This window comes from Homo sapiens, chromosome 1 (genome assembly GCF_000001405.40).
Source record: "Homo sapiens chromosome 1, GRCh38.p14 Primary Assembly".
Taxonomy (NCBI): Eukaryota; Metazoa; Chordata; class Mammalia; order Primates; family Hominidae; genus Homo; species Homo sapiens.
Window position 1 is genome coordinate 215,673,971 of NC_000001.11, and position 13,847 is coordinate 215,687,817.

General features: G+C 39.2%; 1 protein-coding gene across 1 annotated transcript in view; it reads right to left on the minus strand.

The window, feature by feature from the left end:
• The window catches only part of USH2A (usherin), an 800,558-nt gene that overhangs the window by 51,080 nt on the left and 735,631 nt on the right, over positions 1-13,847 (minus strand). The window contains exons 62-63 of the mRNA NM_206933.4: positions 6,179-6,406; positions 130-1,646 (exon numbers count right to left, since the gene is read on the minus strand). Of these exons, the coding sequence (NP_996816.3) occupies positions 130-1,646; positions 6,179-6,406 (1,745 nt within the window). The remainder of the gene's footprint in view (positions 1-129; positions 1,647-6,178; positions 6,407-13,847) is intronic.

The window sequence follows — 13,847 nt, forward strand, 5'->3', positions numbered from 1 at the left end:
TTAGGTGGATGGAGGTTGGGGACACCTTGCATCCCATTTTTAGAGTCTTCATTAGAACTGACCAAGGGCTCAGGCAATAGAAAGGTCAGCAGTGGCTTACTCTCAGAAAACCGAGACATGGCTACCTACCTGTGAAATGGCTTCAGCTGGTTTACTATATATGACTGCATACCAAAAGAATTATGAGTTGTGTTTATGTGTATGATTTTAGTTTCTCTTTCAAATAGTTCACGGATGAAGAGGGTATAATTGATGATATCACCATTTGTTCTCACTGGAGGGTCCCAGTTCACTAAGATCTCCTGAGGACCCCTGGCCTGCAATTTTGGAGGTTCCATCCCTGAGGGTGCTGAGGGGCTGGTTCGATCTTTGACAAGAGGACTCAAAATACCCCCTTGGCTGTTGCTGGCAGTTACTGTGTAGCTATACTCCACACCTGGGGTGAGAGTAAAATCACGATAGCGTGTTTCCAAGCCTGTATATACAATGGTTCCATCCCTCCTAAGTTCATAACTTCTGATCTGGCCATTTGGGTTTCTTGGAGGTTTCCAGGTGATTTCTATTGATTCTGAGCCTGTGACTTGCAATGTTGGAGAGTCCATGTTCTCTGGCAGGGCCTCCATTGTCCAGGCAGATTTTGACACACTAGCTGTGCAACCTCCATTCGTGCAGGCTACAAGGGAGAAGTTATACTGAGAGTAAGGCTGCAGGTGGGAAACCAGCAGGCACAGGCCCTGGCCAGCAAGGGACTCTTTATTATCATATCTAACTAAATATTTAGTAATCTTTCCATTTTGCACTGTGGGCGGTGACCAACATACATTCATTTGAGTGGCACTGACGGCCCAAAGATCTGGAGGGCTGACTTCTGATGGAGCAGCCTCCAGAGTTGTGATGCTGGTGGGTTTGCTGGTGGAGCATCCTCCACTCGTGCAGGCTTGGAGTGCATAGCTATAGGTGGAAAAAGGAAGAAGCTCTTCATCAGTGTAATTGAAAGTCACAGGATCAAAGCTAAAAGGATAGAGCATTTCATTCCTTTGAAGCCTATAGGACTGGATAATACCATTAGACTGTTCTGGTGGGATCCAGGAAATCAGCAGTTTTTGGGGATTCATAGAAACATAGGATATCACAGGTGGAGAGAGACCTTCTGGAGGTGCTTGCAATGTCCTCACCACATTCCAAGAGCTACAGGTATGCCCAGCTGAATTCCAAGTGTAGATTTTATATTCACACTGCGTCCATGGTTGCAAACCTGTGTCATTATACATAAATGTATTCCTTTCAGTGTTATATTCTGTGAAAACAATTTTCTCGTCGGCCTGGATTGTCTGATTTCCCCAAGCTTTTCCCTCGAAGCATCTGCGAATCACTTCATAGCGAATTATTTTTCCATTTGGGTTAACAGGCTCAGACCAGCTCAGCTCAACACTGGTGGACTTCACAGAGTGGACAGTAGGAGCCAGCTGAGAGTCTGGAGGGGCTTCATCTGTCCACAGAGGCTGAGGCGCCGAGTGTGCACAACCTGCTCTGGTGCAGGCCTCCAGGGTCAGTGTGTAGAGAGTGAAAGGATCCAGGCGGCGGAAGAGAAACTGACGATTCAAACCAGAGTACTCCAGGAACCCGTCACTGAAGATGTTGTATGTCTACAGAAGGACAGAAGCAAAAGGGATAACTTGCAGCATACAATTTCTTTGTGTAGTTACTTAGCCCCTTTTTAACCTTCACCCCCTTGTTCCTTATTTTGATGACCCTAATTTAGAAGAAGTATTCTGATATTAATTGGGGATATGTGATTTTTTTCAGTTAACATAAGGCCCACAGAGAGACAAACAATGTTTTTCTTTGCCTTTTTCTTTTCTTTTTTTTCAGTTTGGGAACTACATAAACATTTATCTCAAAACTAAGGGCTATTGAATCAGATTCTTTGACTTAAATGGTATTCACAAGGTTTCTCCTATTTGTATTTTTTTAAAGTAGAGAATAGTATTAAAGTCTCCTGTTTTATGGATATGAACTGCTTCTGATCTCATACTGACTAAAGTAGGGTCTACCTTCCACGGCATTTGCTGGGAAATGGAATTACAACGCTTAATCATTTGTTGTTACAGAGTGCCAGGGCTGAAAGAGTATGCTTGTGTGTGTGTGTGTTTAGGCACACAGACACCTATATTTTATACATAAGTACAAATATCCATACATATATATACATGTACATATATACATGTATATAAATCTTTATGACTAGGGGATGGAAAAAAACACCCTGTTTTCTCTTCCAGGCCATGGAAGAACTGATTGCTCCTTTGGGGGCAAAGTAGTCTTTTGTTCTGGAAAAAAACATCTGAATGCTTATTATACTGTACAAATGTAGAGCAAGTTTTCATTTTTTTTGAAAGATGGGAAGTAAGTTAATCTGAATGCAGGTGTTTTTGAACAGTGATTTTCCAACCTTTTCCTGCTCCAACAAACCTGAGAGAGATGACACACTCCTTTCGATGACTCCCTATCATGGTGACTCTCAAGAGGGGACAGGACACATTTTACAGCCCTTGGAAGGCACACCCTTGAAACATTCCCAGAAGTGGTTCTTGGGCAAGCTTAATTTAGACTAAATTGTTAACATACTCCATTTTTTCCCTAAGATTACACAGCCTAGAAGTTTGGAAACCTCTTTATGTTGGAATGTTGTATGTTGGTGTGATTTTCTTGTTGAGGACCCAGGGCAAGACCACCCCCATGTGGGAAGGGGACTGCCATATCTTCTGAAGGGAGCATAGGTTCCATAACTAGCTTGCAGCCTCTGTGACCCCCCAAGCACCCCTTGCTGCCCCTGATATTCACCCGGCAAATCTCTAATTAGTGTAAAATTTAGCTGTCCCTCTATACTCAAGCTCTGAAATGGGTTTGTAGAAAAACACCCAAACATTTTTATTGGTCTCACTTTAAACTTCTATCCATACATTTTAAATAGGCGATTACCAATTTGTAATCCTATTTTATTCCCTCATGCTTTTGCTCTGTCATTTTCCCAGGTGATTATTTCATATTTCTTCCTTTCCCCTAACCACTAACACCCTCTTCCCTCCCTCACCGTTGATTGATTGTTGACATAACCACATCGTTCACTGAAAATAGAAGCAGTTAGAGAAGAATGCCTCCATGTTATATATTCTGACCTCTGTATCCATGTGAATCTAGACTTACATGATTTGCTTTTCCTCCTTTTGCTATGAATGAAATATCTCTGTACCTACTGAAGGCCACCTAAGCGCTGTATCCCATCCCTTCCTCCTTCCCCAAGACTTCACTACTGCCGTTATTCTCATTATCTCCTACGTCACCAGTTTATCTCCCTCTACTGGTTATTTCTATTCGTGTTTAAATGTACTCTAGTATTTTTCAATGATTTTAAATAAAACTTCCCATCCCACAGTCTCCACCTATTGCTCCATTTCTCTGCTTTTCTTTTCATCTAAATGGCTTTAATGAGTTGATGTCCTACTTCCTCCCTTGCCATTCTCTCCTCAACCAGCCATGCCAACCAGGTTTCCCATTCTACTGCATACTCTCCTTGTCGAGATCACAGTGACCTCCTCATTTCTATACTCGGGGTGGCTTCTCTGCCTTCATTTTACTTCTGCTCTCAGCAACATTTTGGCATATTTTCTCTTCTCTTTTTGGACACTCCACTCATGCACTTTTCCTTCTAGCCTAGTTCCCTCTTATCAGTCTTTGCTGGCTCTCTTTCCTCCTCTTGACCCCCACATTTATGCCTCAGGGCTTGATCCCAGACTCTCAACAGGTTGAGTTACATTCTCTCCATAGCTGATCTCCTCTGGCACCATGGGTTTATATAACATCCACCTGCTAACGGATTCTGAACATTTATCCCAGCAAAGAACACTCTCAGGAGTTTTAGACTTGTACCTCACACTATCTACTTGCTCCTAACTTGTTCATCTTCCAGTCTCCCCTTCCTCATCAATAGCCCAAAGCCTAAACCCAAAACTCATCTCAAAGCGCTCCCTTTCCTTCATGTCTCTCATTCAGCTCATTAACACATTTTGTCATCTCTATCTTCTGAATGTATCTTCGATTCACCTATAGTGCATGATTTCACAACTGCTACTCTAATTTGACCCACCTTCAATTCTACCTTGAAATCTTTAATAGTTCTCAAACTCCATTGGTCCTTATATAGTCCATTTTCCACAGGGTAGCCAGAGTGATTTTTAAAAACGTAAATTTGATCATGCTATTCCTTTGCTTAAAGCCTTCAGTAATTTTTCATTGCACTTGGAACAAATTCTAAACTTTACCACAGCCTACAATGTTGGGACAATCTGTCTCCTACCAGTCCCTCCAACCTCTTCTAGTGCCATCTTTCTTTCTCCCAAATACTTCATACACACTAGCTTTCTTCTCTTTCCTTGAATACACCAAGTTCATTCCTGGCTTCAGGCCTTGCATTTGCTGTTCATTTTGTCTGGAACATTTTGCCCCCATATCCTCACATGACTAACTCTGTCTTGTCATTCAGGACTCAGCTCAAATGTCAACTTGATTCAAATGATATTCCATTCTAAAATAGCCTGAGCAGGCATAATTACATTATTCTATTTAATTTTCTTTATAGCATTCATCGCTCTCAGTAATTCCCTTGCTTATTTATTTACTAGCTTATTGTTTGCTTTTCTGTACCCCCACCATTCATATACTCTGCCACATTTATTCACACAGACACACACACACACACACACGCACGTGCACTCACACACGGTCTGTAACATCAGGGAACCTGACTGTCTTGTTCACTCTTGAATAAGTATATGGCACTTAGTAGAAGTATTTCACCAAATATTTGCTTAATATTTGGTGAAATGTAAATAAAGGTCCAAGGAGTCAATATTCTTATTGTCAATTATGCCACCAAGAAGCAGATGCTCTCATGACTCCAAATACCCACAAGGAGAAGTGCTTTGAGGGAAAAGGAGCTTTCTTTTCTGATGGGTGCCTTGGGGCCGTGATTTGGATTTTAAGGTCATGAATCCTAAGGCTCAAGCCTCTTGCCCCAGGGGGGAGAAGTCTGGCTTCTGTCCACATGTAGGCAGGCTGGTGGGAAGCAGCTTGCTACTGCTACTTGCAGCAGGCCTTGAAGCTAGGCAGAGAGGCAGCCCACAGGATGGACCTGGGACTGTGAGCTCTAGTTACAGTTCTTAGTTATTGCTGCACGTAATTTCCTGCTGTCATCCCTCTCTTAGGGTTTTCAGGGAGGCTTTATTAAAAGTAACAGCTTAGTCTCAACCCTGTGATGTGGAATTGATGTGGGAGTCTGCCTCTTGGAGAAGGAGTGGCAAAGAAAAGGGTAGTGTGTCTATAGCAGCTGCAGGCTGGGGGACTCTGCAGTCCCAGCCCGCAGAAGGTAGTTGATGAGGGCCTAAGAGATGGACCACGGCCAGGAGAGACTGGAGGTAAAGGCAGTAGTATGAACTAACAGGTATGTCTGCCACCATCCTTGGGGAGGAACATCAGAGAGGTAGATGAAGGCTGGTTTTTGTGTGGCTGAAGGTTCAAAACATCAAAATGCAGGCTATTCATGAAAATACAGTCCCCCTGTACTCATGGGCTGGCAGAGCTTGAGATACGTATACAACATTTATAACATTGTTTCTCACGGCTACATACAGAAGTTGGGAAGTTAGCAGACACCTGTGGCTTGCTTAATGAGCTCTGTTTGAAGCATAAATTAGGCAAGTCTTAAGCAAATAACTGGGTAGGGTAATTCAGGAGGCAGTAAGAACACAGTCATTTAGAGTTCAGTTCTGATGTGAGTTCCTGGCTTCAAATCCCAACTCAATTACTTACAGTGTAGGCTTGGGCAGTTACTTAGCCTGCATATGCCTCATGAGGTTTGGTGGTACCCACCTAGTAGGGTTGATGTGAGGATTAAATGAGATAATCCATGGAGAGCATTTAGCTCAGTGTTGGGTTATAGGAAGCATCACACATCTAAGCTAGGTTTCTGTGATCTATGATTAAGTGCCTGGAGGAGCTATCAAGGAGAATTAAACAGGCTGTGAAGGGAGTTTTCCCACAGTGACCTGATGGCATGTCAGGGCTCATCTATTTATCTGGAGAACACCAAACATAATTTCTTATGCAGGGTAGACATTACCTTAATCACACCATTGGTTCTCATAGGTTCTGACCACTGTAGTAGCAATGCCCGGCCATTCTCTTTCTGTTCTACTATAAAGTTTCTCAGTCCACTTGGGGAAGATTCTAAGGTTTGAATCAGAGTCCAAGGGCTTAAAATTTCTCCTGCATGGTTTGCAGCCACAACACCAATGCGATATGTTGTGAATGGTTCTAACCCGTACAGGTGGGCTTGATGGCTTGTTCCCTGTAAGAAAATTAACAGGTTAAGTTGTTGTTTTTTTTTTTTGAAACTGACAATATTGCTGGAAAGTCATTCTCTGAACCTCATGGCCAAAGCTTGTAGGCAACAGCAGCGCAAACACTACAGCAGAGTTTTGAATTATCATTAAGAAAACAACGCATTTTTTCTTATTCTTGTTGACACCGTGAATATATTACCCAATGTTGTATGATTTCAGACACTCAGAAAGTGGACCAGATAGCATCCTTGACTTTTCAGTGCTTGCAGCCCAAAGCGTGTGATATATAAACATTAAAAAAAAAAACAAAACATGATGCTTCAGATCAGTGCTGCATCCAGCTCAAAATGGAAATCAGTGGTGCCAAGCTGCATGTCTGAGACTGGGATAATTGCCTGCCAGGTTAATATTAAGGGTTTGGAGAGTTAACCTGAACACCCCTAATTTCCAAATCTGTTTGTACACAAGACTCTCCATCTTCCCAGTCTCCCTCTCTCATTCTCTTGGCATGTATATATATCTTACGAATTCAATAAAACAAATAAACACAAGAAAACAGTAACAAGCCAATTCAACTATACATGTACAAACACCCTTAGAGAAGTCTATTATTAATATAGATATAAAAATATTTTCATTTGTTAAAAGCACCATAAGTAAAACTATGAAACCTACCAAAAGTAATTGTTAGCTAGGCTTGGAGAATTTGGTCTTTGTTGCTTTAAAAGAAAAGAAAAAAAGGGATAGCCTAATTAGGATTTTTAAAATTTGTTTGTTTTTCTGCTTGGAGAGCAGCATTAACATATTTGGCATAACTAAACTGGAGCTAAGAATCCTAATGTTTCTAAAGGCCCTGGGGTGCTCTTTCCACATCTGGACTGAAAGGATATGTCCTTTTAAAGTAGGAATTATGTATGCAAGTGGGGTAGTAATGTGTTCATAGGTAAACACACACACACGAACACACACACACACACACACACACACTGGCATTTTCTGTTGCGTACCATCCCCATTGGATATAAGAAATCATGAGAAAGTTTTGACTGGGTTAGTAGGATATTTACATTCAATGATCTGCTTTGGTTTATTAGATGTTTGAATGTGATACATGGTCTTCAATTGTCTTCTTTCCTTGATGAACAAGGGAAGAAGAATATAAAGTGGAGTAGTGAAAGTTATTTCTGAAAGTAGGCACCCAAGAACATCAGAAAAAATTATGTGTGGGGGCATCCAAATATCATTTTGGATAAAATCTAAAACAAGATGACAAAATCAAACAGAATTGTTTTCCAAACAAACTGGTTAGACAAAAACAAAACAATGTAGAAATAGGTTTTGGTGCTGTTTTCTGACATTATTGGCTGTATATTTTAACTGTGTTATTTCTTGTTATGTGTTAAACATAGGCAGAGAAAATACAATTTCCTTCACATATCAAAAACTTGTAAAGTCAATTTTCCTATTTCAATAAGTCCCATTATGATATTACACGCTAACCTCTTGAAATCTTTTAATATTTAAACATTTGCTGAGCAATCAGACTCTGAAACAAATTTTACAGAAATACTAATTTCTCTTTTTTAAAATATTAAAAGTTAGATCATAAATATTTAAAAACTTATTTCTCCATAACATTGGATTGGCCTTTTAGATAAATATAGCACAGAACTAGAATGACCATAATGAATATTAAATCTGAAGATGCTACAAGTCCCGATTACAAACACTCTTTTCTGATAAATGATTCCTTTTCTGTGGAAATAGGGCAAACATGGGCAAGATTAATAATGCAAAAAAGAATAATTCTTTGTTCAGAATATTCAGTAATAGATGCCAAAAAAGCATACGCTCCAAAGCAAATAGTAATCACCTCTAACAGATTATATATAAAAAAGGTGGGCTGCTGGGGGACATTTTTTCATAAGCTTTTGTCATAAGAAACATGAAAAGCATGTGGGCTATAAAGCAAAAACATATGTATATTGTCAATAGCTGCACCTGCTCAATTATAATTTATTTCAGAGCTGAGAATTCCATTCAGCCCCTAGATGGCAATACTATCAAACACTTTTGGTAACATGAGTACTTAATGATTAACAACTGGCATTCAGTCATCCAACACACTCCAGGCAACCATTAAAAAAATAACAAAACTGATTTCATTATAGATTCGTTTAATAAACATTTACGGCTCAGATCCTTGAAAGCAGAAGTATTCAAAATGCCCTAGCTTCCAAACCTCCACCATCTAATATAGAAATATGGCCTGTAGGTTGCAAGCTGAAGTTCATGCATGCCTGGCACAGAAAATTTTTAGGGGTATACTCCTACAAAGGGTCATTACAACAGTTGTTTTGCTTAACCTGGTCTACATGTATCTAAAAAAAAAAGGGAGAGAAATAACCACATGTTGGGATGTAAAAGTAATTTCTGTATCATGAAATTATACTGAGGACAAGTTCTCATATTACATTATTTATTTATTTATTTAATTTATTATTATTATTCTTATTTTTTGGCTCTTTTGCCTAGGCTGGAGTGTGGCATGATCATGGCTCGGTGCAGCCTTGAACTCCTGGGCTCAAGTGATTCTCCTGCCTCAGCTTCTGGAGTAGCCGGGACTACAGTCATGTACCACCGTGTGTGGCTAATTAAAACAAAATGTTTCTTTTCTTTCTTTCTTTCCTTTTTTTGTAGGGATTGGGTATCACTATGTTGCCCAGGTTGGTCTCCAACTCTAGAGCTCAAGTCACCCTTCTGCCTTGGCTGCGCAAAAGTGCTGGGATTACAGGTGCAAGCCACTGCTGCATCTGGCTACTTTGTTATTCCTGAATAGTTTTATACACACACACACACACACACACACACACACACACACACGCACACACACACAAACCACATATAGACTCCTTAAATAGATCTAAACAATAGCCATGGTTTTTGTCAATGTTTAGTAAAAGCTATATTAAAAAATGAAGAAAACATAAAAATGACAAGATAATCCTTGCCAATTTATTCTTTGACGTTTTAGGAAATAATTTATATTATTCTCTCCTGAATGAATTTCCAACATCAAAGTTCACTATTTTAGAATCCTGCTGCAAAATTTGGATGCAGTTCACTCTGTGAATTGGGTTGGCTCTCATTTACGTACTAAGTTTCTTGTTATTTTTCTTAAATTTAGGATATTTGCTTGAGCACTGTGGATCTTAGATGTTTTGGATTCAGTTCCTTCCTTTGGAGATGTAGCGTTCTGTCTTACTAACTAGGAAAAGTCATCACTAAAGACGATTTTCCTTCCTTTTACTCCTTTGCTTCACTTTTCTTCCGTTTCTTCCTTTCTCTTTCTTCTTATTCACCCTTTCCTTCTTCTCTCACTCCTTTTCCTCTATAGAGATTATCTTAATTCAATACTCTTACTTCTTCCCCTTTATTGCCATTATTTTGCTCTTTCCTTCCTTTCACTCTTCCTAATGATTTTTTTGACTACATTTTTTGTTGTCCCTGACTTCTGGCCTGCCACCTTGCACTTGCTTCTGTTTTGTCTTTGTTCATTCTATGTCCACGTCCATATTGTACGTAATTCTACAAGCATGTCAGCTACTTTTGTTAGGCAGCAGATGAAGAAGATGACTCAACAAAGAAAAACAGGAAGAAATATTTTACTAGGAATAATCCATTCTTTGCAATCTAATATCTTCAATGGGATTCAGCCTCTTTTTTCCTTCTTTAACTTTATATGCATGAAGGTCAGAGTTTGGATACAAATCAGTGCCTCATTTTATGAGACATAAAGACAAGACTCTCTGGAACACTCTGTCAGTTGAGGTTCTGCTGGCAATTTGAACTATATTTTAACCTCTCGACTCAGCTCCTGGGGACATATGCAACTACTTGGAGTCTTCAGCAGTCTGACAATTTTACACCATCTCCTCTGATTATTTTTGATGACTTGAAGTGCCCCAAAGGTGGCCATGGGGTCAATAGGTTTATGTAAGTTGAAAATGATCAAAAATTACCATTGATCTGTAGCTGTCAATAAAAGGCTGTGTGGGGATACTCCCTGCACAAATGTTTAAACTGCATAAAGCTTCCCAACTTAGTCATCTTTGAGTCTATTGATCTGATGATCCAGCAGTTTCCAGAGCTTTCCCTCTGGTCTTTGGGGTGTATTTTCACTAAGCTCACTTACTGTAGACCTTAGGAATCTTTTTACCCTGCTCCCAGTAATGAACCAAAACAATGATGTATAGGCACTCTTGTGTTCATCAACAGAGTATTACGTGTCCATATTATATTTTGGAAAGGGTTAATCTTCCTGGTCACCATCAACTTCATTCTAAGCCAGTGGGATTTCTTCTGGCTTTGTCTTTCATTTATGATTCTCCCTTATCCTGGGCTCTTTATCCTGAAATGGATGAGTTTTGGCTTCTGCATCCCAACCAAGTCACGGGGTTCCCTTGCCTCCTTAGTTATGATGAATACCAAGAACCAGAGAATAAGTCACATCAAAAATTCACCTTTTTGTGCAAAGAGAACTTCAGAAGAATCTAGATTTAAGTATATTAACCTCTGTATTCTTAAGTTGAACTGCCGAGATCCTTTATCATTAATTATATTTTATTTTGTCTTAATGATAAGGAATGATTATACCTGAGACCTAGAGTTTCTGATTTAGATTACAAATAAAATGTGAGAAGCAGTTCGAGCTCCCATTAACTGTTATCTAAAAGCCATGACTTTGGATAGAGTACATCCAGGCAATTGGATGACTTTTATATGTCGTAATGTAGACAAATCAACACAAAATATTTTTCTAGATTTTTGAAAGCCAGATAATTTGAGGCGTGGATTCTGCAGGACGATTTTTCCTCTCCATTTATAAAGTTAACCTTTAAGTTCCCCAAAAGTTGATCAACATATTTATGTCTAATACTATTTTGCAAAATTCAAATCAGTTTTTTTTTTTTGTTGTTGTTGTTTTTTTTTTTGAGATGGAGTTTCACTCTCGTCGCCCAGGCTGAAATGCAAGGAGTACAATGGCGCAATCTCAGCTCACTGCAACTTCCGCCTCCTGGGTTCGAGCGATTCTCATGCCTCAGTCTCCCGAGTAGCTGGGATTACAGGCACCCGCCACCACGCCCAGGTAATTTTTGTATTTTAAGTAGAGACGGGGTTTCACCATCTTAGCCAGGTTGGTCTTGAACTTCGGACTTCAGGTGATCCACCCGCCATGGCCTCCCAAAGTGCTGGGATTACAGGCATGAGCCACAGAGCCTGGCCATCAAATCAGTCTTGATACAGAAATTATTATTATTATTTTTTTACCACGCATTAGGCAAATATCAAACTTGAATACTTATCCATGGTTCACTTGGCATGAGACTTCCAAGCCTGCAAAATATAAACATTGTCAGAACATTTTCACCAACTTCACCTGCACACTTCCTTTACCAGTGCCATCTTCACCTAAATGTATCTCAGCTGGTGAGACAAAAAAGACATTTATTTTGACAGCAAACACGTACATGCAGAGTTGCTCCGGAATCAAAGATCAACTCACAATACAAGAAAGGTAGAACAAAATACCCTTTAGGACCATGGCCTATTGTTTAGTGTTCAGGCCTATTGTTTTAGTGTGTATGTGCTAGGCAGCATCACCAAGTGGGATGACACAGCTGCCAAAATGCTCAGTGCAAACATTTAGCAGTTTCTCAGCAGCTGGTTTACTTCTTTAAACATTTTTGAGCATCTTTTATGCAAAAGACTCTATAAAATTGCAATGGAAGATACAAGATGGGTAACACAGACTCTTGACTCTGAGGAACTTATAATCTAATAGAGCAAATCAATAATGTATATACATACACACAATTCAGTGTGGCAGTGCTATAATAAGCACCAGAGAAATACTAAGGAAATACTTGTTATTCAGAAGAAAGGGGGTGAGGACTTGGGGAAGACTTAATTGAGACGTGGCATTTGATCCAGGTCAGGAAAGATGTAGAATTTGAGCAGATAAAAATAGATGAAGGATTAGAAGAAGGAACAGTAGAAAGTTCTGGAGATACCTGGGTGGCAGTTCAACAAAGCAGAAGTGTGATGGTTGCAGGGGAATAGTAGGGATTGTGGCTGGAAAGGGGATTGTGATAAGACTAAAGAGGGCTGTGAATGTCACTCTAAAGTTTTTGAACTGCATTTGTTAGGAAACAATAAGTAACATTAGGCAAAAAATTTAAGACCTAATTATGTGTGAAGAGCTCTGCAATGCAATTTGAAGGAATAATGGAAGAACTTTTAAATTTCACCCTATCGTGGTATAGATCATGGTCAGTGACTAATGAAATAATAAATCTGCCAGGAATTAATTAATTAACTCAATTATTATTCAGCCAATAAGTATAGATTGCCATTTGCACAAGGTAATAGGAAAAGTATTTTCTTAGAAAAAAGATTTAAAATTTTCTTTATGGAACGTTCACTCTATTTCAAAATTTGTAATTATTCTTTAGACACAAGGATTTTTCTTTTGATTTCAATTGAGGCAGGAAGTATAATAACTGAATGGTGTTAAAACCAATTTTCCTATTTTCTTTCCTGACCCACTATCAGAACCATGCCTTCCTGAAGTGTGTTTTCTCCTGATACTGGGGACATGTTTGAGTGGAACCCTCTACACCCTTGTCCCAGCCCCTTGTACATATCAAACAGTGATGAGGCAGCTGGAAATGTTAAGGACACTATTGACGACTGGGTAACAATGAGGCCAACTCAAATGTACTCATAAGTGTTAAAGCATTCCTAGCTCTGGGTTCTAGCTAATGCTGTCACCTAATGGATTAGGCAGGGGACAATTGTTATAACAATTGTAAATTTCAAACTTAAAATGTTCAGCTTGGAGGATCCACATATTAACACTGGGATCACTTTAATGCTTTTACTCCAACAACTCTCTACACTCAGAAAAGAAGAATGATACGTGAAAAGGGAGAAGGTTTTTTTTTTCCTCTCTTTAGAATACATCATTCATTTTGTAATGGAGGGGTCAATTCAAAAAGAAGACTCAATTCACAGACATTTTCTTTATAGACAAATTGGCTGTATCAATTTAACCTATAAAGCAAAAGCTAGAGTTATTGCAAAATGAACAATGATGCTTCAGTTACCATAAAAACATTGGGGGAAAAATGGTTTTGAAATGCCTCATTTTTCAAAGGAGAAGAGGAAAAAAATTAAATTTGTGATAATTAAATTTTAAAGTGGCAAATCAGTCACACTAAATATTAAAAAGCAGTACTTCTGATCTATCAAAATTAAAAATGTGCATACACTGTGACCCAGCAATTTCACTCTGATAATCTATTCTATGGAAATAGTGGCAAAACTGTACTAAAACTCATATAAAAATTTTCATTTGGGCCATAGCTTTAGATTTATTTAAGC